This window comes from Homo sapiens, chromosome 1 (assembly GCF_000001405.40).
Source record: "Homo sapiens chromosome 1, GRCh38.p14 Primary Assembly".
Classification (NCBI taxonomy): domain Eukaryota; kingdom Metazoa; phylum Chordata; class Mammalia; order Primates; family Hominidae; genus Homo; species Homo sapiens.
In genome coordinates this window covers 48,159,291-48,186,722 of record NC_000001.11, presented here as the reverse complement: position 1 = coordinate 48,186,722, position 27,432 = coordinate 48,159,291, and the positions used below count along the sequence as shown (strand labels likewise).

Below are 27,432 nucleotides of genomic sequence, written 5' to 3'. Positions count from 1 at the left end.
TGGTATATGACCACCCTCTAAAAATACTAGAAGAACGCTAGAGGGAAAAATGCCTCAAATGAGCATGCACATAACTTCAGTAAACACACAGTGCATGCAACCCCTCCCAATTGCTGGCAAGCCACTGCACATATAGACAGTCCCTCCCCCCAGGGGAAGAATTGGGGAGAAGATTAAAAAATGCTAGAAGCATGCCAACATATAAAATTCCAAGTCAATGGTCAAACAGTGCACTCGCATCTCTCACATCACCCACTTGGCCCTCTTCCAAATGTACTTTACTTCCTTTTGTTCCTGCTCTAATAATTTTTAGTAAACTTTCACTACTGCTCTAAAACTTGCCTTGGCCTTTCATTCTGCTTTATGCCCCTCAGACATACAGTTTTTCACCATTAAGAATAATGTTATATGTAGATTTTTGTAGATGCACTTTCTCAGCTTGAAGTTCTCCTTAACTCTAAGCTTCCTAAGAGATTTTTTAAACCATCAATTTATTTTTAATTTTGAAAAATACTTTTTCCTACATCTCTTGATATTATCATAGTTTTTCATCTTTCATTCAATAGTGGAGTACATATTGATTGGCTTGTAATGTTGAACCAGCCTTGGGCTCCTAGGATTCACCTCACTTGGTTGCGATGTATTATCCTTTCTACACGTTGTTAGATTCACTAATATTTTGTTGATAAGTTTCGCATCTATGTTCATAAGGTACCTTGATCTGTAGTGTTTCTTTTGGTAATGAATTTGTCTGATTTTAATATCAGAACAATTCTGGTCTCATAAAAATTATAAAGTATTCATTTTTATATTATGGAAGAGATTGTATAAAATTGATGTAGTTTCTTTCTTAAATGCTTGATAGGATTTGCCGGTGAAGCCATTTGGACCATGGCCTATTTTTATTTCCTGGAAAGTTTTTAGCTACAGATTATTTTGTTTAGTAGCTATATATGACTATTCACATTATCTCTTTTCTTTTAAGTGGGGCTTGTTAGTTTGTGTCTTGGAAAGAATTGTTCTATGCCATATAAGTTGTTAAAGCTATGGGCATAGAGTTGTTTGTAGGATTCCCTTATCTTCCTGTGAAAAGTCTGTGGGGTCTCTCATAATGTTCCATCTTTTCTTTCTAATATTTGTAATTTGTGTTTTTACTCCATTTTTCTTCATCAGTCTCAGTAGAGATCTATTAATTTTATTGATCTTTTACAAGAGACTTGTTTTAGTTTCTCTTTAATATGGTTTTTCACTTTCATTGAATTCTGCTCCTATCTTTGTTGTGTACTTTAGATTTCTATTGGATAGAACTGCACTGGAATGTGCCTTGCATACAATAACACTCCATAGATAAGTGCTTCATGAATGAATATTTGAGTTAAGATATGAAAGATACCTTTTTTTAGACCTTAAGTCTTGAGATCAGTCCCAACTCCTTAACCATCTAATATTTTCAGGCTTCCCTCATCAAAGGTACTGCATTTCTGTGGTGCACTATTCTAAGCCTTACAAACTTACAGTCTTACCTGCTATGTTTTACTGTTGCTTCTGGCCAATATCCAAAACTAAAACACTCTAATGTTTCCCTTAGAAAAATATTTTACTATTTATCCTTTGTGTCTTTCTCACTCACACCTTGGGATTTGGCTTTGGCAATTGTTAAGGAAATTATAAAGTAGTATAGAGACATGTAAACATTTCCAAGGAAAAATAATAGAGTGCGAGATGGAAAATTCTCCATTCTGGTTATCAACTAATTTATCATTTTGCTTTTTCTATTTACCCACATTTAAAACAATGAGGTAACCAGTGGAATCTTTTTTTGTTTATAATCAAGGTATAATTTAATACAGTGAAATAAATTAAGTGTACAGTGCAATGAATTGTATATACCTGTGTAACCCATGTACCTAACTACACTTCAATTATTCCAGAGAGTTCTCTCTTGCCCCTTACTAATCAATCCCCACTCCTTCAGTGATAGCCCTTCTGAGGTTTTCCAACTTATTTTGTCTTTGCCTGTTTCAGATGCTCATATACATGAAATCATATAGTACATATTTTGTCTTGCTTCTTTTATTTAGTATAATATTTTGAGATTCATCCATGCTGTTGCATGTTTCATTAGTTTTTTTTTAATTGCTGAGTAGTATTTTTATGGTTAAAATACAATTTAGTTTATCCATTTTCTTGTTGATGGGCATCTGGGCTATTTCTACTTTTGGGCTAGTATGAATAAGATTGCTATGAACATTCTTATACAAGGACTTTTGCAGACATGCTTTCATTTCTATTGGATACATGTCAGAGTGGAATTGTTAGGTCATGGAGCAGATGCATGCTTAACTGTATAAGAAACTGCCAGTCTTAGGCACAACTTTAAATGTATGAGAGTTCCAGTTATCCACATCCTTGCCAACATTTAGTGTTGTCAGTTTTTAAATTTCAGCTATTTTAGTGGTTCTGAAGTGAAATCTCATTATAGTTTTACCTTGCATTTCTCTAATAGTGAGTGTGTTCAGCACTTGTATTTATTGGCTCTATCTTCTTTCTTAAAGTGTCTAAGTCTTTTGCCCTTTTAAAATTGGGTTGTTTTCAAAATCAATATTGAGGTGTAGGAGTTCTTTATATATTCTGGATATAAGCCCTTTGTTGGATGTCTAAGATGCCCACATATTTCCATGGTCTGTCTTGCCTTATTATATTCTTAATGGTGCTTTTAATAAGACGTCTTTAATTTTGATGAGATTTGAATCATTTTTTTTTATAGTTACTGCTTTTTGTATCTTCCCCCAGTTTTTGCCTACCCCATGTTTTCATAATATTCTTCTATGGTTTATACATTATATTTTAATTTTTACATTTAAATTTCCATCTCATATTAAATTTTGTTTAAGATGTGAGGTTAAGGTTGAGATACATCATGACATGCAGTTTATGTATATAACAAACCTGCACATATATCGCTGAACCTAAAATAAAACTTAAAGAAATACAAAAAAATAAAAATGAACAATACAACAAAAATAATACAAATAAAAAATAATAAAGCATAGCAAGTATTTACATAGTATTTTATATCAATTTAGCTATTACAAGTAATCTAGAGATGATTTAACATACATAGGAGGATGTGTGCAGGTTCTGTGCAAACATTAAGTTGAGTGTCCTCGAATTTTGTTATCCTCGTGGATCCTAGAACGAATCACTTGAGCATGCCAAAGGATGACTGTACGTACATACATGGATCACCATTTACACGTACACATGTGCTGTATGAATATATATACTTGTGTACATATAAACTCATGCATATGAACATATATGTAAACATGCATAAATATGCGTAATCATTTATAAATATGTACATGTACATGTGTACATTGTATACATATTTTACACATGTATACCTGTACATGTTATACATGTACTTATATATGTACCTATGTTATCTGTACTTATGCATTTATATAACCTTTATTATCTATAAATAGTTACTTTCATATATGAAATATATGAAATATATATCATATATTTATTGAAATATATATATTGAAACATATTTCATATATGAAATATATGAAATATATATCATATATTTATTGAAATTACACTCTTCATCATTTTACCTTTGTTTCTCTCTTCAGCTCACCTCTCATCCTTCCCTCCCATCCGAACTCCCATTCCAGCCACAGTAAACTGCTTGAAAATTTCTGAGTTGCCCATCTTCTCCTGTGTCTTTCAAACTATTGCTTCCTTAGCCTGGAAAGACTACTCAGTTAAGCCTTTCTTAACTGGGCTTAGCGGGTAATTTTATTTTAAGACTCCTCTCAGCCATTATCAGCTTCCTAAACCTTCCTTGAATGCTTAATCTGAATTTAGTGCCTTTTATTTGTGCTTCCACAGCTTCCCTCCTTTCCTTTCTAGGTACAGGTTCAGCATTCAAAATAAACTCATCGCAGCCATTTTGTTCAGCACCAATTACATGAAATATGTACATCAGGTTACATCTTGCTTTCCTTCAGAGTGAGGCGTGTCATGTTAGTACTTTCATACTGCCAGCTGTGATCACTGAAGCTGAACAAAGAGTTCTACCCACAGGTTGAAGCAGCCAGTCCCCTGGGAATTTCCCTTGGACTGGAACATAAGAATCAGGCTGGCAGAATCAGATTCCCTGAGTTTGACAGCAGAGGAAAGGGCTTTGATAGGCAGTTTGCCTGATCCCCATCTCACTCTGGCACATCCTGCCTTAGCTACAAGAAAACTGCTGAAGCACTGTTGAAATTCATGTGACTCAATTGAGACTCATTCTGTAGGGACAACAGAGAACTGATTTGGATCACCTGGCTCAAGTAGGTGAGTAGATTTAGTAAGATTTACGGACATAGTCCTTGCTTCATTGATGGTCTTCATTTTTATTCCTCTCTCTTCTTTGTGCCATCTAGAGGGAACTCCATTCCACATTTCCAGGGACTTGACAGTCCTGTAGTTAGCCACTAGTTTAAGGCATGTCCCACATGTCCTACCTGAGCCTATTACAGGCTTTATGAAGTCAGCTGTATCTGAGTTGTGGGAATGTGGTGAGACTAGAGAATGTCATGGTGTTAAGCCCATTGCTGTGCTTCATTTGCTGTAAAATGATTCTGTTTGTGAGAGACAATGTTGTATAGCAGGGGTCCCCACCCCTGGGCCACAGACTGTTGCTGCTCCATGGCCTGTTAGAAATCAGGCCAACAGCAGGAAGTGAGTGCAGGGCCAGCAAGCGAAGCTCCATCTGTATTTATAGGTCATCCCCAGTGCTCACATTACCTCCTGAGCTCCGTCTCCTGTCAGATCAGCAGCAGCATTAGATTAATATAGGAGTGCGAAACCTATTGTAAACTGTGCATGTGAGGGATCTAAATTGCATGCTCCTTATGCCTGATGATCTGTCACTGTCTCCCACTGTCACGCCCAGGTGGGACCATCTAGTTGCAGGAAAACCAGGTCAGGCCTCCCACTGATTCTACATCATGGTGAGTTGCATAATTATTTCATTACATATTACAATGCTATAATAGTAGAAATAAACTGCCCAATAGATTTAAGGCACTTGATACATCACCAAACTAATCCTCCCTTCCCCCAGTCCATGGAAAAACTGTTTTCCATGAAATCTGTCCTTGGTATCAAAAAGGTTGGGGACTGCTGTTGTATGGGATATCATGGAATGAAAGGGCATTCTGTATGTATATGAGTTGTGCATTAAGAAGTGCTGCTGGCAGGGACATCAGATCCAATAACAGAGTATCTGTCCCTTCAAGGTGAATGAGTGTCCCTTTAATTATAGATGTGCCCATCTAACCTATTAGGTTCCTGAAAACTAAAAGTCCTCTACTGCATGTCTTTTGGCTAGGGAGAAGATGAGGGACTCCTTCAGAGCTGAAATGGAGACCTCTGGGTTTTTCGAACATGTTCTCAGTTGTCTATTTAGAACTTTAAATTGCCCCTTTTCCTTAAGTCCGTCTTCCAGGGTAGTCTGAAGAAGGTAGAGGACTGCACAGTCTTTACAATTACTATTTTTTGCCATAGCAAACAAGTCATTTTGTTTTCTTCTCTGTACCTTACTCCTCACTTGCAGTTAATCTTTGTACCTCAAATATTGGCAAATTGCATCCATACATTAGCTGTGCCCTCCTCGAATACATAAGAAAACCAATTTCAGAATCATATTTGGAGGGTTTCTTTCTGGGAGACACTTTAAGTACCAGTTCCTCATCAGTCGTGGTTCTAATAAAAAAAAAAAAAGTTGAAATGCTCAAATTTTGGGGCATTCAAATAAAAGATCATTTACAAATGTGTGAATAAGGTGTAGGGAAATCCTATTGCAATATCCTGGAGCTAAAATAAAAGGATTGTGACCAGGCCTGGGCTTGAGGGAGCAGGAGCAGGAAGCAGTAACTAAAACTTGAGGACAATGAGGACTTTTTTGTTTTAATGAAAATTATGAGTCGAGATTTGAATCTGGTTCCAAAGCCCCTGCTTTTTATCCCTCTTAAACAATAAAATTCAATATACTAAAAATGATGAGTGAACAAATACTTTATCATTCTTAATTTTCTTGTAGTACTTATACTTTATAGTATAGTACCTATTAGGCACCATTATGACCACTTTATATATAATAATTCAATCAATTCCAACAATAAATGTAATGAGGAAAAATTATTATTCCTTACTTACAGCTGAATAAACAGAGTCACAGAGTGTTTTTATAGTAACTTGCTTAAGTTCATACAACTAAATAGTAAAAACAGGATTTCTACTTAGCAGTACCATTTTAGGACCTCGCTTTTAATCACTATGCATACTACCTCTTAGCCTCTTAGTAGTTCCTATCCTAGAGGATAAAGCTTAAATTCATTACCCTAGCATATGAAGCCCTTCACAGTGTGCTCTCTGCCTCATTCCTTAATCTTGATAGACAAATATATTCCTCAATTTCCCTTGCTCAGTAGGGTTTCTGCATATTGAATCTGGTGTATGTCCCCATTCCCTTTATACTCTATGAGATAACCACCTCATTCTTCAAAATGTTGACACCACCTCACTAGTAAAGTCTTCACTTTGTGGATCTTCTCCCTGCCATGATGCTGCAGAGTGAATTGCTCTCCAAGGTTGCAAGAACTGCCCATGTACATAAGATGGCAGTTTTACATTATTGTTACTATCCAAGTGTCTGTTCACTTGTCTATGACCCTAGAATCTAGCAAACTTTTTTTGTTGAGGGATAGATAACCATCACATTTGTCTGCTGAATCAAAAGCCAAAACATTATAGAACTGATGAAAAACCTTCACATTAGACTAAAATATGCAATTGTGTTTTACCCTTTGTTCTCCATGGCCATATAGGCTCATTCATCTGTCTCTATTTGTGAGTTCTTCAGAAGCAGGAAATTCTGAGGGATTGCCACAACTAAAGAAAAGAAAGTCATATTCTCTTATAAAGTGGTTACTTATTCATTCCATAAGAATAATAGATCTAAAGATGTCTTTAAATTTTTCTTTGAACCTAAATGTAACTAAATGTGGCAGATGCTTAGGCTAAGGTTTTGGAGAACAAGACCTACTCCCTAGATCTGCTGCCACTTTCTCTGGAAAAGCAGGTTCACCTGATGAAATTTACAACACCAGAAGACAAATGACATCTAGCCTGGGAGGAAGAAATCCTTTAATGAGAAAGAAGCCTCTGGCTGGACTTGGTCATTATATTGAACATCTTAAAAGTAGAGTTACCAGATTTAGAAAATAAAAATTATATGATGCACAAGAAATATTTATACCAAAAAACTTGCACTGCCGATCTGAAATTCAAATCTAACTGGGGGTTCTACGTTTCATCTGGTAACTCTATTTGAGAGTTAATTACTGCAGGAAGATGTGGAGATATGTGATTTCTGTGACATATTAATCCTGTTCTCACTGAACCTGCCTAATTTCTTATCACAGGTATAATGGAAACTACAGGGCTATCTTTCTCCAGATACTTTGTTGTTATGAATCTCCTCCAGATGACAATATCAAGTTCAGGTATGACTCTCTCTCTTACCCTTACGGGCCTTGGCAATATGAAGTGTGCCAGAAAAAGCAAGGACCAAACAAAAGGGACAAACTCTTGAGCATTTTCCTTAGGTTTAATACATAGTTATGTAATGAGGATATGTACTATAAGAACTGTCTTATGGTTAGGAAAAATTACTTCTAATCAGCAAGTCTTTATCATGTATTAGGTTCCAGGGAGAAAAAAAAAAACAACAACAAATGAAGAAGACCTAACATTTGCCCTCAAGAACTCAATATTTGTATTGAGGTGACATGATTTACTTATATCTTATACAATGAAGAAGCTGTCCAAATTGTGGTCCATATTGGAATCCATGTGAGTTATCTGTACAGTAAGATAAGCAAAGACACAATAGGCTGGTGGGACCTCGATAGGTGATGAAAATTTGCAGTGGAAGGGGATCAATGCAAAGCAGACATAAATATAGTTTATTTAGAGACATATACATTAAAATCCTGAACCAATAAGTGGCATACAAGATTTAAAATTTCTGGCAAAAGCTACTTGTTACATGGTACAAATCTTACCAATGTGTAGTTGGGTAGTGTCCAGTCTTTGGCTAATAAAACGAAAGCTGCCACAAACACCCTTGTACATATGTTTTGAGCATATCTGTAAGTAAGAATGTAGGAAATATTTCTATGAATAGAACTATTTTGTCAAAGGCTATGTGCTGTTTTTATTACGATATCAAAAATATTCTGAAATAGTTACCAGTGTACATGTCCACCAACAGCATATGTGAGTTTGTCAGGTGGGTGTTACAGGTTTCAGGGTTTTTTGTATTTTCCAAATTTACAGATGAAAAATAGAAACTCACAGTGATAATATTTTACTTGTTTATTGAGTTAGGGTGGCCTTCTTTCCTCTCAAAAAATTGTATTCATTTTCTCTAAACTGCCTACTTAATGCCTTACTCCACATTTCCTTTGCATTAAACTTGCACAAATCTCTTTTTGATCTGTTATAACTGTTGCATGTGTTTCTGACCAGTTTATAATTCAATGGACTTGTTAGTTATATTTTGGATGTGCAGAATTATTTGGTTTTGACTTTTGATTTTATTTTGTGAATTACAAAATTTCCCCCAAGTTTCCATTTATTTCGCTCTCCTTTTTCTCCTCATTGACTTTTAACATTTTTATAGACTTTATTTTCTATAGAAGTTTTAGGTTCACAGAAAAATTGTGCAGAAGGTATATAAAGTTCCCACATAGCCCCACTCCCTCTTCCCTACCTGCCCCCCTCCCACAGAGTTTCCCCTTTTGATAACCTCTTGCATTTGTGTGATACATTTATTGAAATTAATGAACCAATATTGATAGATTATTATTAACAAAAGTCCAAGTTTACATTAGACACTCTGTGTTGTACCATTCTCTAGGATTTAACAAATTGTTATATAAATGAGCCAGAGATGGCCTTTGCATATTGGCCCTTTGTTGCTTACTTCTTAAATCAGGCTGAGACTCATTAGCTCAAAAGCCCACAGTGCCAAACTGAAATGTTTTCGCATCCAGTTGTTGTAAATATATCTCCAACAGGCAGATTTTTTTTGCCATTTTATGTCTTCCTGCTTTGTACACCTTGGGAAACTGCACCCAACATCTGCCGGCCATAGATAAGAAAAATCTTGTAGTTACATAAACTGCAGGCTGCTGCCCTTCAGAGCCCTCTGACCCAGCAGCTTCCTACCATGCTGTGAAGTGATGTTATCTAGACATGCAGCATCTCCCTTCCCATCCTTGGGAGCTCCTTTGTCCTCCTGCGTTCTGGATGGTGGTCCCCTGTGCTTCTATAAGGCCTTATGCTGTGAGGACTGTTCTTTTTGCAACCCTGTCCAAGTAGCGTCCAAGTAGAAGCTTTGTGTGCTACTGCCACCTGTGGGCTTATCTTTTTCCTTGATAAGCCTCTGAAATTCTCAAATTCATTATATAAATGTATTATGCTATGTATCCACTGTTATAGTATCATAGGATATAATTTCACCATCATAAAAATGTCCTGTGCTTCACCTGTTCATCCCTCCCTTCCCCTGAAGCCTGGCCAATTACTGCTCTTTTTACTGTCTCTATAGGTCTGACTCAGAATTTCATACGGTTGGATTCATACAGTCTGTGCCCTTTTCAAACTGACTTATTTCACTTAGTAATATGTATTTAATCTTCCTACATGTCTTTTAATGGCTTCATAACTCATTTCTTTCTATCACTGAGTAATAGTTCATTGTATGGACTTATCATAGTTTGTTTATTCATTCACTTACTGAAGCACATCTTGACTGCTTCCAATTTTAACAAGTATTAGAAAAGACTCTTTAAGCATTTGTATCAAGTTTTCAACTAATTTGGGTTATACTTAGAAGCACAATTTCTAGATTATATAGTAAGCTTATATTCAGCTTTGCAAGAATGTCAAACTGTCTTCCAAAGTTCCTATACCATTTTGCACTCCCACCAGCAATGAATGAGAGTTCCTGTTCTTCACGTCCTTGTTTGTATTTTTGATTTCAGCCATACTTATAATAGGTTTAGGGTAGTATCTCATTGTTTGAATTTGCAATTCCTAAATGATATATGATTTTGAGCATTTTAACATCTTTATTTGTCATCTATCTTCTTTAATAAAGTATCTGTTCAGATATTTTGTCTATTTTTAATTGTGCGGTTTGTTTTTACACTGTTAATTTGTATATTCTGCATAGAATCCTTCATCAGCTATCTTTTGCAATTTTTTTTTAGTCTGTGGCTTGTCTTTTTTTTCTCTTAACAAAAGCTTTTGCAGAGCAGACATTTTTAATTTTAATGAACCAAAATTTGAATATAATGAATTAGTGTTTGATCTGTTATACCTTTTCTATACATTCTTGACCAGTTTGAAATTCAATTTAGTGACTTATTTTTATGTTGTACAATTCAACAGTTTCTTCTTTTCACAGTGTCCAAGTCCTACGTTTTCTTAGTAAGAGTTTTCCAGACCACATTTCAAGATTATAACAATGACTCTTTCATTTATTTTAAATTTTGAAACTAACCCATGCAAAATGATTTCTTATATAATAATTGAGATTAAAATCTGACATTATTTTTTCAAAAAATACCTAGTTGTTTTTTTATTTATTAAGTAATCCATCTTTCTTCAGATATCCGAGATGTTATTTTTGTCATAAACCAAATTCCCCTAAGGATTTGCATTTCCAAACTCTGCCCCATTGAACTCTCTTCTCATGGGCCAATTACAGAACTCTTTTAAAAATGTAGTATTTATATAATTAATTTAATATCTTGCAGAAATATTCTCTGCTGTTTTTTATAATATAGTTTTTCTATTTAAAGTTTATAAGCATATTTTCTTTTTTGAAGTACTTTAAAGGTATTTTTATTTTCAGGATCTCAAATGGTTCCATCAAGTTATGTGTGCTGTATTGTTGATTTTAACATAAAATATTCTGATATTTTCCATTATGCCTTTCAAATTTTTTTCTTTCTCTTTATTTTCTCTAAGATTGTTGTAAACTGGAAAATGTGATAAAATATGTATTATACAACCTTAAGAATATATCAAATTATATATCTAGTTAGATATAAAAACTAGTATAGAATAACAATGAAATGATTTTACCTTGCATTATTATTATTATTTTAGAATAGACATAAAGGTAAATATGACAACTAGCTTGTAATCACTCTATATGTGATATTTTGCTGTTACATAAGCATTTAAAACACATTCAAAATAATCAATATTTTAAATATATAATTGGAGTTTAATTGATTAAGGCACTAAAATTTGCAGAGTCTGCAAAATATCTCAAGCACTGATCTTAGGAGCAGTTTAGGGAGGGTAAGAATCTTGTAGTCTCAAGCTGCAATGCCCTTTAGCCATAATTTCTAATCTTGTAGCTAATGTTAGTCCTACAGAGGCAATCTAGTCCCCAGGCAAGAAGGAGGCCTGCTTTGGGAAAGGGCTGTTATCATCTTAGTTTTTTTTGTTTTTGTTTTTTAATTTTTTTAGTATTTATTGATCATTCTTGGGTGTTTCTCGGAGAGAGGGATTTGGCAGGGTCATAGGACAATAGTGGAGGGAAGGTCAGCAGATAAACATGTGAACAAAGGTCTCTGGTTTTCCTAGGCAGAGGGCCCTGCCGCCTTCCGCAGTGTTTGCGTCCCTGGGTACTTGAGATTAGGGAGTAGTGACGACTCTTAAGGAGTATGCTGCCTTCAAGCATCTGTTTAACAAAGCACATCTTGTACCGCCCTTAATCCATTTAACCCTTAGTGGACACAGCACATGTTTCAGAGGGCACGGGGTTGGGGGTAAGGTTATAGATTAACAGCATCCCAAGGCAGAAGAATTTTTCTTAGTACAGAACAAAATGGAGTCTCCCATTTCCACCTCTTTCCACACAGACACAACAAGAATCCGATCTCTCTGTCTTCTCCCCACATTTCCCCCCTTTCTACTCGACAAAACTGCCATCGTCATCATGGCCCATTCTCAATGAGCTGCTGGGTACACCTCCCAGATTGGGTGGCGGCCGGGCAGAGGGGCTCCCCACTTCCCAGATGGGGCAGCCAGGCAGAGGCGCCCCCCACCTCCGGGACAGGGCAGCGGCCGGGCGGGGGCTGCCCCCCACCTCCCGCAGGGGGTGGCTGGCCGGGTGGGGGCTGCCCCCCACCTCCCGGACGGAGCGGCTGGCCTGTCGGGGGCTGCCCCCCACCTCCCGGACGGGGGGGCTGGCCGGGCGGGGGCTGCCCCCCACCTCATCATCTTAGTTTTAAACTATAAACTATAAATAAGTTTCTCCCAAAGTTAGCTCAGCCTATGCCCAGGAATGAACAAGGACAGTTTGGGTTTTAGAAGCAAGACGGAGGCAGTTATGTTAGATCTCTTTCACTGACTCAGCCTTAATTTTGCAAAATAGACTTCACTTTCCTCAATGAGTGGGGCAAGGGACCAACATGGAGAGTTTGAAATGTCCCCTCTTCCCACATCTTATTATAGTCAGGGACTAAATATCAACTTTGAGAGTTTCTGAGCCTCAACACTGAAAGAACTTCTGTTACAGCCAAGTTGTATCACAAGCAGAAAACGATAAATGAAACATCCTAACCTGTGTACATTTGTAGGGGCAGGTGGTGATAGTTTAAGACATCTTGTTGGTAACATCGAAGAAAACAGAGAGACGCAACGTGTTAAGCATAGTACTTCCATAATAACAGACTGTGAAGAATAAGGAGGTCAAACTAAACATAGAATGTGTGAGAATTTTCCAGAATTTAAAAAAGACAAGAATCATCCAATTCAAGAAGCACTATGAAAGAGCCAGAAAAAGACAAATGCATTCATACATGGATTCATTATAGTTAAAATGGAGTAAATTTTAAGAACTGCCTGAAAGTATGTTTAGAGTAAATGAAATAATGGAATGAAGATGGGCATGTGTGGCTGGCAAGATGACTGAATAGGAACAGCTCGTCTGCACCTCCCATCAAAATCATTGCAGAAGGTAGGTGATTTCTGCATTTCTAACTGAGGTACCCAGCTCATGTCATTGAGACTGGTTAGACAGAGGGTGCACAGAGGGCAAGCTGAAGCAGGGTGGGGCATCACCTCACCCGGGAAGTGCAAGGGGTTGGGGAACTCCCTCCCCTAGCCAAGGGAAGCCATGAGGGACTGTGCCATGAGAAGCGGTGCTTTCCAGCCGAGATACTACCTTTTTACCATGGTCTTCACAACCCATAGACCAGGAGATTCCCTCAGGTGCCTACGCCACCAGGGCCCTGGGTTTCAAGCACAAAACTGGGCGGCTGTTTGGGCAGACACCAAGCTAGCTGCAGGAGTTTTTGTTCATAACCCAGTGGCACCTGGAATGCCAGGGAGAGAGAACCATTCACTTGCCTGGAAATGGGGCTGATGCCAGGGAGCCAAGTGGTCTAGCTCAGTGGATCCCATCTCCATGGAGCCCAGCAAGCTAAGATCCACTGGCTTGAAATTCTCGCTGCCAGCACAGCAGTCGGAAGTCATCCTGGGATGCTCGAGCTTGGTGCAGAGAAGGGCATCCACCATTACTGAGGCTTGAGTAGACGGTTTTCCCCTCACAGTATAAAGAAAGCGGCCTGAAATTTCAAACTGGGCAGAGCCCACTGCAGCTCCACAAAGCCGCTGTAGCCAGACTGCTTCTCTAGATTCTTCTTCTCTGGGCAGGACATCTCTGAAAGAAAGGCAGCAGCCCCTGTCAGGGGCTTATAGATAAAACTCTCATCTCCCTGGAACAGAGCACCTGGGGGAAGGTTGGCTGTGGGCACAGCTTCAGCAGACTTAAACATTCCTGACTGCTGGCTCTGAGGAGAGAAGTGGATCTCCAAGCACAGCACTTGAGCTCTGCTAAGGGACAGATTGCCTCCTCAAGTGGGTACCTGACCCCTGTGCCTCCTGATGGGGAGACACCTCCCAGAAGGGGTTGACAGACACCTCATATGGGAGAGCTCTGGCTGGCATCTGGTGGGTGCCCATGTGAGACAAAGCTTCCAGAGGAAGGAAAGGGCAGCAATCTTGGCTGTTCTGTAGCTTCTGCTGGTGATATCCAGGCAAACAGGGTCTGGAGTGGACCGACAGCAAACTCCAGCAGACCTGCAGCAGAGGGGCCTGAGTGTTAGAAGGAAAACTAATAAACAGAAAGGAATAGCATCAGCATCAACAAAAAGGACTTCCTCACCAAAACCCCAACTGAAGGTCAGCAATATCAAAACCAAAGGTAGATAAATCCATGAAGATAAGGAAAAAACAGGGCAAAAAGGCTGAAAATTCCGAAAACCAGAAAACCTCTTAATAACAAACTCCTCCGAGCTAATGGAGCATGTTCCAACCCAATGCAAGGAAGCTCACAACCTTTAAAAAAAGTTAAAGGAATTGCTAAATAGAATAGCCAGTTTAGAGAAGAACAGAAATGACCTAATGGAGCTGAAAAACACAGCACGAGAATTTTGTGAAGCATACACAAGTATTAATAGCCGAATCGATCAAGAGGAAGAAATTATATCAGAGACTGAAGATCAACTTAATGAAATAAAGCATGAAGACAAGATTAGAGACAAAAGAATGAAAAGGAATGAACAAAGCTGCCAAGAAATATGGGACTATGTGAAAAGAACAAACCTATGTTTGATTGGTGTACCTGAAAGTGAAGGGGAAAATGGAACCAAGTTGGAAAACACTCTTCAGGATATTATCCCAACCTAGCAAGACAGGCCAACATTCAAATTCAGGAAATACAGAGAACACCACAAAGATACTCCTCGAGAAGAACAACCCAAGACACGTAATTGTCAGATTCACCAAGGTTGAAATGAAGGAAAAAATGTTAAGTGCAGCCAGAGAGAAAGGTCGGGTTACCCACAAAGGGAAGCCCATCAGACCAATAGTGGATGTCCGTGCAGAAACCCTACAAGCTAGAAGAGAGTGTGGGCCAATATTCAACATTCTTAAAGAAAAGAATCTTCAACCCAGAATTTCATATCCAGTTTCATATCCAGCCAAACTAAGCTTCGTAAGTGAATGAGAAATAAAATCCTTTACAGACAAGCAAATGCTGAGAGATTTTGTCACCACCAGGCCTGCCTTACAAGAACTCCTGAAGGAAGCACTAAATATGGAAAGGAAAAACTGGTACCAGCCACTGCAAAAACATACCAAATTGTAAAGACCATCAACACTATGAAGAAACTGCATCAACTAATGGGCAAAGTAACCAGTTAGCATCATAATGACAGGATCAAATTCACACATAACAATATTAACCTTAAATGTAAATGGGCTAAATGCCCCAGTTAAAAGACACAGACTGGCAAATTGGATAAAGAGTCAAGACCCTCATTGTGCTGTATTCAGGAGACCCATCTCATGTGCAAAGACATACATAGACTCAAAATAAAGGGATGGAGGAATATTTACCAAGCAAATGGAAAGCAAAAAAAGCAGGGGTGCAATCTTAGTCTCTGATAAAACAGACTTTAAACCAACAAAGATCAAAAAAGACAAAGAAGGGCATTACATAATGGTAAAGGGATCAATGCAACAAGAAAAGCCAAATATCCTAAATATATATGCACCCAAAACAGGAGCACCCAGATTCATAAAGCAAGTTCTTAGAGAACTACAAAGAGATGTAGACTTTGACTTAATGATAATGGGAGACTTTAACACCCCACTGTCAATATTAGACATATCAACGAGACATAAAATTAACAAGATATTCAGGTCTTGAACTCAGCTCTGGACAAAATGGACCTAATAGACATCTACAGAACTCTCCATCCCAAATTAACAGAATATACATTCTTCTCAGCACCACATCACATTTATTCTAAAATCGACCACATAATTGGAGGTAAAGCACTCCTCAGCAAAAGCAAAAGAATGGAAATGATAACAAACAATCTGTCAGACAACAGTGCAATCAAATTAGAACTCAGGATAAAGAAACTCACTGAAAACTGCACAACTACATGGAAACTGAACAATCTGCTCCTGAATGACTACTGGACAAATAACAAAATTAAGGCAGAAATAAGTAAGTTCTTTGAAACCGATGAGTACAAAGACATAATGTACCAGAATCTCTGGGGCACAGCTAAAGCAGTGTTTAGAGGGAAATTTATAGCACTAAATGCCCACAGGAGAAAGTGGGAAAGATACCCTAACACCACAATTAAAAGAACTAGAGAAGCAAGAGAAAACAAATTCAAAAGCAAGCAGAAGAAAATAAATAACTAAGATCAGGGCAGAAGTGAAGAAGACACAAAAAGCCCTTCCAAAAATCAATGAATCCAGAAGCTAGTTTTTTGAAAAAAATTAACAAAAGAGATAAATGCCTAGCCAGACTAATGAAGAAAAAAGAGAAGAATCAAATAGACACAACAAAAAATGATAAAGTGGCTATCACCACTGATCCCACAGAAATACAAACTACCGTCAGAATACTATAAACACCTCTATGCAAATAAACCAGAAAATCTAGAAGAAATGGATAAATTTCTGGACACATACACCCTCCTTAGACTAAACCAGGAAGAAGTCGAATCCCTGAATAGACCAATAACAAGTTCAGAAATTGAGGCAGTAATTCATAGCCTACCAACCAACAAAAGCCCAGGACCAGATGGATTCACAGCCAAATTCTACCAGAAGTAAAAAGAGGAGCTGGTAGCATTCCTTCTGAAATTATTTCAAACAATAGAAAAAGAGGGAGTCTTCCCTGACTAATTTTATGAGGGCAGCGTCATCCTGATTCCAAAACCTGGCAAAGACACAACAACAACAAAAAAGAAAATTTCAGGCCAATATCCCTGATGAACATCAATGTGAAAATTCTCAATAAAATACTGGCAAAATGAATCCAGCAGCACATCAAAAAGCTTATCCACCATGATCAAGTTGGCTCCATCCCTGAGAAGCAAGGCTGGTTCAACATATACAAATCAATAAACCTAATCCATCACATAAACAGAACCAATGACAAAAACCACATGATTATCTCAATAGATGCAGAAAAGGCCTCAATAAAATTCAACATTCCTTCATGCTAAAAACTCTCAATAAACTAGGTATTGATGGAATGTATCTCAAAATAATAAGAGCTATTTATGACAAACCCACAGCCAACATCATACTGAATGGGCAAAAGCTGGAAGCATTCCCATAGAAAATCGGTGCGAGACAAGGATGCCCTCTCTCACCACTCCTATTCAACATAGTATTGAAAGTTCTGGCCAGGGCAATCAGGCAACAGAAAGAAATAAAGCATGTTCACATAGGAAGAGAAGAAGTCAAATTGTCTCTGTTTGCCAATGACACGATTGTATATTTAGAAAACCCCATGGTCTCGGCCCAAAAACTCCTTAAGCTGATAAGCAAATTCAGCAATGTCTCAGGATGCAAAATCAGTGTGCAAAAATTACAAGCATTCCCATACACCAATAATAGACAAACAGAGAGCCAAATAATGAGTGAACTCCCATTGACAATTGCTACAAAGAGAATCAAATACCTAGAAATACAACTTACAAGGGATGTGAAGGGCCTCTTCAAGGAGAACTACAAACCACTGCTCAAGGAATTCAGAGAGGACAAAAACAAATGGAAAAACATTCCATGCTCATGGATAGGAAGAATCAACATCATGAAAATGGCCATACTGCTTAAAGTAATTTATAGATTCAATGCTATCCCCATCAAGCTACCACTGACTTTCTTCACAGAATTAGAAAAAACTACTTTAAATTTCATATGGAACCAAAAAAGAGCCTATGTAGCCAAGGCAATCCTAAGCAAAAAGAACAAACCTGGAGGCATCATTCAACCTGACTTCAAACTACACTACAAGGCTACAGTAACCCAAACAGCATGGTACTGATAACCAAACAGATATATTGACCAATGGAACAGAACACAGGCCTCAGAAATAACTCCACACATCTACAACCATCTGATCTTTGGCAAACCTGACAAAAACATGCAATAGGGAAAGGATCCCCTATTTAATAAATGGTGTTGGGAAAACTGGCTAGCCATATACAGAACACTGAAACTGGACCCCTTCCTTATACCTTACACAAAAATTAACTCAAGATGGATTAAAAACTTAAATGTAAGACCTAAAACCATGAAAACCCCAGAAGAAAACCTAGGCAATACCATTCAGGACATAGGCACGGGCAAAGACTTCATGACTAAAACACCAAAAGCAATGGCAACAAAAGCCAAAATTGACAAATGGGATCTAATTAAACTAAAGAGCTTCTGCACAGCAAAAGAAACTATCATCCAAGTGAACAGGCAACCTACAGAATGGGAGAACATTTTTGCAATATGTGCATCTGACAAAGGGCTAATATCCAGAATCTACAAGGAACTTAAACAAATTTACAAGAAAAGAACAAACAACCCCATCAAAAAGTGGGGAAAAGATATGAACAGATGTTTCTCAAAAGAAGACATTTATGTGGCCAACACACATATGAAAAAAAGCTCATTATCACTGGTCATTAGAGAAATGCAAATCAAAACCACAATGAGATACCATCTTATGCCAGCTAGAATGGTGATCATTAAAAAATCAGAAAACAACAGATGCTGGTGAGGTTGTGGAGAAATAGGAATGCGTTTACTGGGTATATACCAAAAGGATTATAAATCATTCTACTACAAAGACACATGCACACGTGTGTTTATTGCAGCACTGTTCACATTAGCAAAGACTTTGAACCAAGTCAAATGCTCATCAATGATAGACTGGTTAAAGAAAATGTGGCTCATAAACACCATGGAATACTATGCAGTCATAAAAAAGATGTGTTCATGTCCTTTGCAGGGACATGGATGAAGCTGGAAACCACCATTCTCAGCAAACTAACACAGGAACAGAAACCAAACACTGCATGTTCTCATTCATAAGCGAGAGTTGAACAATGAGGGCACGTGGGCACAGGGAGGGGAACATCACACACCAGGGCCTGTCGGGTGGTGGGGGGACAGGGGAGGGATACCATTAGGAGAAATACCTAATGTAGATGATGGGTTGATGGGTGCAGCAAACCACCATGGCACGTGTATACCTATGTAACAAACCTGCACATTCTACACATGTATCCTAGAACTTAAAGTATAATAATAATAATAATGTTGTTTTAACTAGGGTGAAAAAAAAGAATGAAGAGGGGCAATTGTTATACTGGTAGTAGTACTTTTTCTTTATTTTAACAGAAATGAAAACCATACAGCAACAATGGAAACCATTTTTTATATTTCTTTCTTTCTTTTTTTTTGTTTTCAGATGGAGTCTCGCTCTGTCTTCCAGGCTGGAGTGCAGTGGCGTGATCTCAGCTCACTGCAACCTCCGCCTCCTGGGTTCTAGTGATTCTCCTGTCTCAGCCTCCCAAGTAGCTGGGATTACAGGTGCACACCACCATGCCCAGCTAATTTTTTTTTGTATTTTTAGTAGAGACAGAGCATATTGGTCAGGCCAGTCTCGAACCCCTGACTTCAGGTGATCCACCCACCTCGGCCTCCCCATATTTCTTAAAGTAATTTGATGAATTTCCATTCAAGCAAAGTGCAAAGTAAAGGTGTTTTCAAGGAAAAGAGAAAACAAAAGAATGTACTCTCAATAAAGTGTGTGTGTGTGTGTGTGTGTGTGTGTGTGTGTGTGTGTGTGTCTATGGGTGTTTGTGATATAATAATTCAAATAAAAATTTTGTCTTGGTCCACTTCTCATCCTTTCGTTGCTGTCTCCCTTCACAGAACAATTCATAGTGAATAGCTTATAGAGGCCAATCTTGGCTCCACTGGGTGGAAAAGTTGAGCTCAGTTGCCAGCTGTCTCCACCACAAAGCGCAGAACACATGGAAATACGCTGGTTCCAGAGTCACTACACACGACCTGTTTACCTGTATAAGGATGGTAAAGACCTGTATGGAGAAACTATCTCCAAGTATGTGGAGCGGACAGAGCTCCTGAAAGAAGCCATTGGAGAAGGTAAAGTGACCCTCAGGATCCTTAATGTCAGTGCTGATGATGACGGGCAGTACCACTGCTTCTTCAAAGACAGAAATGTCTATGAAGAGTCCATCACAGAAGTGAAGGTCACAGGTAAGGATGGATCCCTGTGAGTTTTCTATGCATCCAAGATTCTCAACCTGTATGAGGCTGAGTATTAGGAAAATTCTCACTATTTCTATTTTTATATTATATGGTCTGGTTAACAAGGTCAAATTTATGAGTTTAGAGTTTGATTTGGAAAGAGTGGAGGATCAAGAATGAGAATTATATCTGTTCAGACATCAAAACTATCAGTAAATACTGTCTGCTTTTTTACGTCTACATATATTGCTAGATTGCTAAAAAATTAACAGAATCCTTTTAGAATTTGTTACAATCCTTCTAATTATTTCTGGCAACACTTTAGTAAAACTTGACTTTTAAAAGTACCTGAATCTTTACAATAGACTCTTTAATGATAATTTTTATTCTCATTTCTCCCTGAATCAAATTACTGACTACTTAGTTACAGATTCACCTTTCTAAATGTATTTCAGAAAGCCTTCACCTACTATCTTCAAAATTCTACAGTCTATATACTATATGGGTGCTATTTGCAAATACGTAGCATTTAAGCCAATCACCCTTGAAGTATTCTGAATGAAAGGTGAATACTCACCCTTGAAGTAGTCTGAACGGCAGAGAAATGGAGGGGAGATGGAGGACTTGAAGCAAACTAAGGTCTTCACAAATATGAGGACACATGTGGAGGGATCCAGGGCACTCATGCTTAACATATTTACTGGATATTATATGACACCCAACTCCATAGTCTACAGCTGAGCTATCCAATATGATATATATTAGCCACATGTGGCCATTTAAATTCATATGAAAATTAAATAAAATTAAGCATTCAGTTTTTCAGTCTCAATGGCCACATTTCAGGTGCTTAGTTGTCTCATGTGGCAAGCAGCTACTGCATTAGAGGGCACACATATAGAATATTTCCATAATTGCAGAAAATTTTATTAGACAGGGCTGCTTTAGAGTCACACTTTAAATCTCTGTTCATTATTTCTTTGCCCACATATTAGGCAAGACTTATGTCCTAGGTAATATCCTGAAATTTTTCAAAGACTTATTTTCTCTAAAGTGATATGCACCATATTTTGAAAACAGTAATGTATTTCCTTTTTTTTGTAAAACATATTGCATGTAAAAATACCTATTGTATGCAAAATACAAATTTGTAATTTGTTATGGTGGCTCAGAAGTGGCTAATGGTGAAGATTAAAGAAAAAAACATTAAGCCGTAAATTCTATGAGGACTGAGATCTTGATTTTTTTGTTTATCATAATCCAAGGACCTAACCAAGTTACTTAAATTTAGTAAATAGCCCATATTTTGAGTGAATGAATAAATGTAAAAAACAGGCATTTCCTCGCCTCACTTACTTTGGACTATGTTGTTAATATGATTATCATAACACTTCAGTATGGCTTATCCCTGTTCCTTTTTGAATGGCTTGTCATGACAATCAGCCTCATAGCTTAGCTATCAATATCTAAGGACACAGGGATTAAAGAGGGCAGGAAGGCTTTTCCATCTCTTCTGTGTTTCCTTGTCTTCCTCTAAAAACAGTTTCTCCCTTTTTGTATTCCAACCAGCTACAAGTTTAGAAATACAAATTCTTATTCATCCTCCGAATAGCAAAGGTCTTTTAGTGGAGTGTAATTCAGAAGGTTGGTTACCACAGCCTCAAATGGAATGGAGAGAGAGCAGAGGAGAGATCATTCCGCCTGCATCAAAATCCCATTCCCAGGATAGAAACAGATTGTTCACCATGAAGATGAGCCTTCTCCTTAGAGACAGCTCCCATGGCAACATCACTTGCTACCTTCAAAACCCTGTAACCGGTCAAGAGGAAAGGACAAGCATTGTCTTACCAGGTGCGATCTGAGTGTTTGTTCTTCAAATGATGGCCATTGACATAAAATTTGTAAATTAAAGAGAAAAAATCATATACATACTTTCTTCACTTGGTTTCCAAGACATTACTTTCTCTTGGTTTTATTCATTGTCTTCTTGCTTGTTTTCTTTCTTAATCTTTTTGTTATAGTCTTTTTTTTTTCACTCTGCCTTCTTGCTATTCAGGTTCCCAGGACATAGTTTTTGTTTTGCTTTGTTTTTTAGCTTTTATTTTTAACTTTTATTTTAACTTTTATGTTAACTTTTATTTTAAGTTTATTTATTTTAAACACATGTGCAGGTTTGTTTGTTTGTTTGTTTGTTATATAGGTAAACTTATGCCATGGGGGTTTGTTGTACAGATTATTTTGTCTCCCAAGTATTAAACCTAGTACCCATTAGTTATTTTTCCTGATTCTTTCCCTCTTCCCACCCTCCACCCTCCAAAAGGCCCCAGTGTGTGTTGTTCCCCTCTATGTGTCCATGTGTTCTCATAATTTAGCTCCCACTCATATGTGAGAACATGCAGTATTTGGTTTTCTGTTTCCCAGGATGTAGTTTTTTGAGCCTTTCCTCTGTTGTGAGTTCATTCTGTCTCAAGACTTCGGATATCATCAGTGTGACTATGGCTCCTCCAATAGTATCTCCTGCCCTGTCCTCTCTTCAAACTCGGTTTTCATCTTCAAACTCAACCTCTCAACATAGAAGTCTAATAAATATCCTGAACCAAACACATCATAAAGTAAACTCCTGATTACCTCCAAATTTGCTTAATTAATGTCTTTCCAATCACACTTTATATTTTCAGTTTCTCAAAACAAAATAATTGAATTCATCATTGACACCAATTTTTCTCTCATATTCTGCAACACATCTATCAAGAAATTGTGTTAGCTCTACCTTTAAAATATATTCAGCATCTCATCACTTGTCACCAACTTACTACTGCTATCCAAGCCTGAGACACTATCACCCATGGGTCTCAACTTTGGCAATAGCATCCTAAATATCCTCTTATTTTTATTCTTGTCCACTATAGTACATTCTCAACATATAAATAGGAACCCTCTGTTCAAGACCCTGCAATTTTTCCCCATTGTTTTTCAGAGTAAAATGCCCTTCAATATCCTGCATTATCTCTGCCCCCATTACCTATCTGACCTCATATCCTAACACCCTCCTTTGTGCACTCTACTCTAGTCACACAGACTTCCTTGCTGTTCCTAAACCTGCAAGACATGCTCCTACCTTGGAGGCTTAGCTCTAGTTGGTCCCTCTTCCTAGAATGCTCTAACTTCCCCTATGTCCTTCCAGTCTCTTCTCAACTCAACCTCCCTAATAAAGAGTACCTTGACAAACCAGCTTGAAAAAAATGCCACCTGCCCCCAAATTACTTGATTCCCACTCTCCTCACTTACCTTAATTTTTCTTTCTTCCATGTTATTTTCACCATTTAGCCCACCATACAACCTATTTATTATGTTTATTTTCACTTATCTGTTTCCCTGTCTGAAACATGAAGATACAAATCTTTGTCAGTTTTATACACTAATACACTCCAACTGCTTCAAACATTGCGCGGCACATAGCAGGAATGCAATAAATCATTGATACTTGAATGACAGAAATACACCCTAGTAAGTGTCTTACAAACTGTCAAGGAAATATGAATGTGTTAGTGTTTGTGTATTCCATGAAATTAATATTAGAGTCACATGCTGAAAGGGACATTATCACTTACAGGAATGACTCCCCTAACAATTTTAGCAATTTACTACATTCAAACATTTTTGCGCTTATTTTCTCATTTGATTTTCCAGAAAAAAAAGCTTCATATTATGGTTGTGTCAGAAACAGCAATACAAACAGTTACAGGGGATAAAGGAGGACTAAACTACATACCTTCCTTCCCCCAAGTTCATAGTAGGATATATATGAATAAAACAAACAAAAAGGCAGGGCTGGGGGAAGCCCTGCTGATTTATTTACAACTTTAGTGAAAAATGCTTTTTAAAAGTATATGCACTTTAAAAAATGATGATTTAACAGAATTATAATTAGCACAAACTTTGAGCATGAGTTACAGTCCTGGGAATAGAGACATCTCAGGGAGATCTTATCTGTATTCACTGAATGTCAAAAAACATGGAAGAGGCCAGGTATAATGGCTCATGCCTGTAATCACAGCACTTTGAAAGGCCTAGCGGCCAGGATGCCTTGAGCTCAGGAGTTTGAAACCAGCCTAGGCAACATAGCAAGACCTTGTCTCTATGAAAAATTAAAAAATAAAAAATTAGTTGGGCATGATGGCATGTGCCTGTGGTCTCAGATACTCAGGAAGCTGATGTGAGAGGATCATTTGAACCAGGGAGGTTGAGGATGCAGTGAGCAGTGATTACGACACTGCAATCCAGCCTTAAGATATAGCAAGATTCTGTCACAAACAAACAAACAGAAAACATGGGAGCGCAGCCTTCACTCACCTTTGCTCCATCTTCAAACTAACTCACATTCAGCTCTTCCCTACTCCAGATCCTATCCCATTTTTCACGTGCACAATTATAATTAATTTCCCAAATTGGCCTTGGTTTACATTTGAAGGTGACAGGTATTAAGCAGAAACATGCTTTGGATGAATCATCATTCCTAGTTTGGTGGGTTCAAGTTTCCTAAGTGGTAAAATTTGTGACTCCCTATTTCAGATAAACTGTTTCCATGGAATTCTATCTGGATACTGATTCTGGTTGCAATCTTGGCTGTTCTGCTATTCTTCATTATGTTGCCAAGTGTTGAACTACAGCAAAGAGAGCAACGTAAGTTGGCTTGAAGGATGAGAGATGCTAATGGGAGTGGGGAAGCTAAAGCTGCATGACCCATAATTCTCAAGTCTGTCTGTCTCAGGAAGTTCTGAACTTTTCCATGTATGTTAAACATATGCTCTCCACCCATTCCTTGATCCTACATACTGTTCTCTTTTGCTGCTGGAGCTGTTGACAATGCTGTTATCTGAAAGTGTGACCTTTTTGTATCTCAACCAAGTTGAAACCCATTGTCCTTATGGTGACAGATTTTCAAACAACCTGGGAAAGCTTTTTAACATTTAACACCTAACAGAATTTACACATATTTCTCACTTGAATTCTTAAAGGGACCACTGACACTTCAGGGCATAAAATTAAGTTTTAATTGCACAGTATCATTAAAATACACCACGTAGGGAGAGTTACACTAGCTGCAACACCAGGTGTTTTACTTTTCCTTAAACAAAAAGTTTTCATTCATTCTCAACTATGGTGTTGGGGGCGGGGATTGGGGGAACTTGCACAATAAGCAAGAAAATTTAAGACACCAAAAAATAGCTGTTCATGATTTGGGGTTGTGCTCAATTTAAGAAGCTTCAGACTCACAGATCTCTTCTGGCAGAGCTCTGTGTTTCAAGAGTAGTGTCCTGTGCTCTCCCCCTGCTTTTCACCAGGCTCCTGCGCCACCTCCCACCACGTGTAGTTCTGCTGTCAGCGAAGGATTTGGGTCTTGGTCTTCCTAAATATCTCTCCACTTCTTGGATTTTCCGTTTACATTTGCAGCTGTTCTTCTGGCCTGAACTCTGTATGTGACCCTCAGAACTGCCATTTTCCACCACTGTGGTTGTGGGGTTTGGGGAAGACACCACTCCGCCAGAAAGCCACCAGTTCACAACATTCACCTCTGCTAGCTGCTGTTTTGCAAAACAAACTGTACTGTAGCTTCTATCGGCTTATTCACACTATCCAAGTTTTTAGAGATTTGTTTTTTTCTAATGTTCCTGCTTCAATACATCTTTTAATGCTTGTCCTTATTTAATACTGACCTGCTTCTCTGTATCTTACATTTAATTGAACATTCAAAGGTCACATGTGTAACAACTGACATTTCCCAGATAGCTCTTCAGAGATTAGCAGTCAGGAACATTTCAAACTTGACCTTTGCCAAGCTGAGTGTGCCCAGTTATTCAACTGTTTCTCATGGGCATAATTTGAGTTTCTGAAAATCTCTTCAACTTTATCTAAAAGGTATTGGTGAATCAGTTGGAATAAATAATTTTTAAGGATGCAGAGTTAGTTTTATAATAGTAATTATTACATCATCATTAGAGGCTAACATTTATTGTATTTTTACTATTGAAAAACTCCACACCAACAGATTTACAGAAATTAGTGCATTTAACCTCCATAATACACTTTGAGTTAAATATTATTACCACTCCAATTTCTATATTATGAAAATAAACCCACCAACGTTAACTATTGCACCTAAAATCACACAGCTAGTAATGATAGGAAATAAGATCGATTATAAGCCATATGGACACTGTATCCCATATTTTAACCACTAAGTTACACTGTGCCTATGCTACTCCAGTGGTGGAATGGCATCACTTGTGGTAGTAAGCCCCACACCATAGGCTATTTTATGGACAGACTAGATAGCCAAATGATGTTGCTATGATGCATGCTAAAGAATATTTTTAATATTATGTTGTTGAAAACCCTTTCACTCATGAGAGTCGTATATCCAAAGCTCATATGATCTTTCAGGCAGTTCAGAGGTCTCCAGAACTACTGTACTCCCAGACTCTTTCAAGCCCAGGTGAAATGATAACAATCGGAGCATAACTTCATCTAGTGCTCTAATGAGGCCCATTTACTGATGGGCTAGATAGAGAGAAAGAAGGATGAGTTGTTTTTCTCCAGACCTGTTTAGCCTCAACCCAAACCTATCCCATCCTAGAAACAGCCGTTCTTCTTGTCTCTGTCACCCACAGCTCTCTGATCTTTAGACCTAAGCCTTAGCCCAAATCTAAATGAATGCAGTGGGATGGCATCAAAACATACCTCTTGATTTCTTGACACATTGTGCCCCAATCAAAAGTGCCTCTACACCAATAACTAACAATTACAATATCTCTTCTTCTTCAGGTAACTGGTGTGACTAGAATTCTCCCTGCCTGATAGTCATTGGGATAGCCTTCTTTTCAATGTGTGCAATTGTTGGACTCATTATCGGTTTGCATCGCAGAAACAGAGGTATGTGGATTAAAAGGATGGGAATGTCCTGAAAATATCTCATTTCCTAAACGCCCATTCTCTGGTAAGACGTTTAGCCAAAGAGCAGTAATGCTTGTTTGAACTACAGGAATAATACCTACTTGGACCTCATGTCCTAGAGTTTGGAATCCAACTTCCTGAAATTTGTGGGCTTAATGCCACAAACTGCTGATATTTCTGTTCCTAGGAAAAGAAAATATTTCTTTTAGTTGATAGCTTTATTTTTGCCAAACATTG

General features: G+C 37.9%; 1 long non-coding RNA gene and 1 pseudogene across 6 annotated transcripts in view; one reads left to right on the top strand and one right to left on the bottom strand.

The window, feature by feature from the left end:
- The first annotated feature begins 4,294 nt into the window (after positions 1-4,294).
- The window catches only part of SKINT1L (Skint1 like (pseudogene)), an 80,714-nt pseudogene continuing 57,576 nt past the window's right edge, over positions 4,295-27,432 (top strand). The window contains exons 1-7 of the transcript NR_026749.2: positions 4,295-4,353; positions 4,955-5,012; positions 7,488-7,568; positions 19,903-20,250; positions 21,811-22,092; positions 24,814-24,924; positions 27,067-27,174. The product of NR_026749.2 is annotated as a Skint1 like (pseudogene) (transcript). The remainder of the gene's footprint in view (positions 4,354-4,954; positions 5,013-7,487; positions 7,569-19,902; positions 20,251-21,810; positions 22,093-24,813; positions 24,925-27,066; positions 27,175-27,432) is intronic.
- LINC02794 (long intergenic non-protein coding RNA 2794) overlaps positions 5,337-27,432 on the bottom strand; it is a 131,616-nt gene continuing 109,520 nt past the window's right edge. For 3 of the 5 annotated variants that reach the window (XR_007066068.1, XR_007066073.1, XR_007066072.1), the window contains 4 exons: positions 27,297-27,378; positions 8,130-8,214; positions 6,867-6,954; positions 5,337-5,766 (listed from right to left, as the gene is read on the bottom strand). This is a non-coding gene — a long non-coding RNA (long intergenic non-protein coding RNA 2794). Of the gene's footprint in view, positions 5,767-6,866; positions 6,955-8,003; positions 8,215-24,921; positions 26,154-27,296; positions 27,379-27,432 lie in introns of those variants that run through there. The other 2 variants (XR_007066070.1, XR_007066069.1) reach the window with 2 other exon arrangements.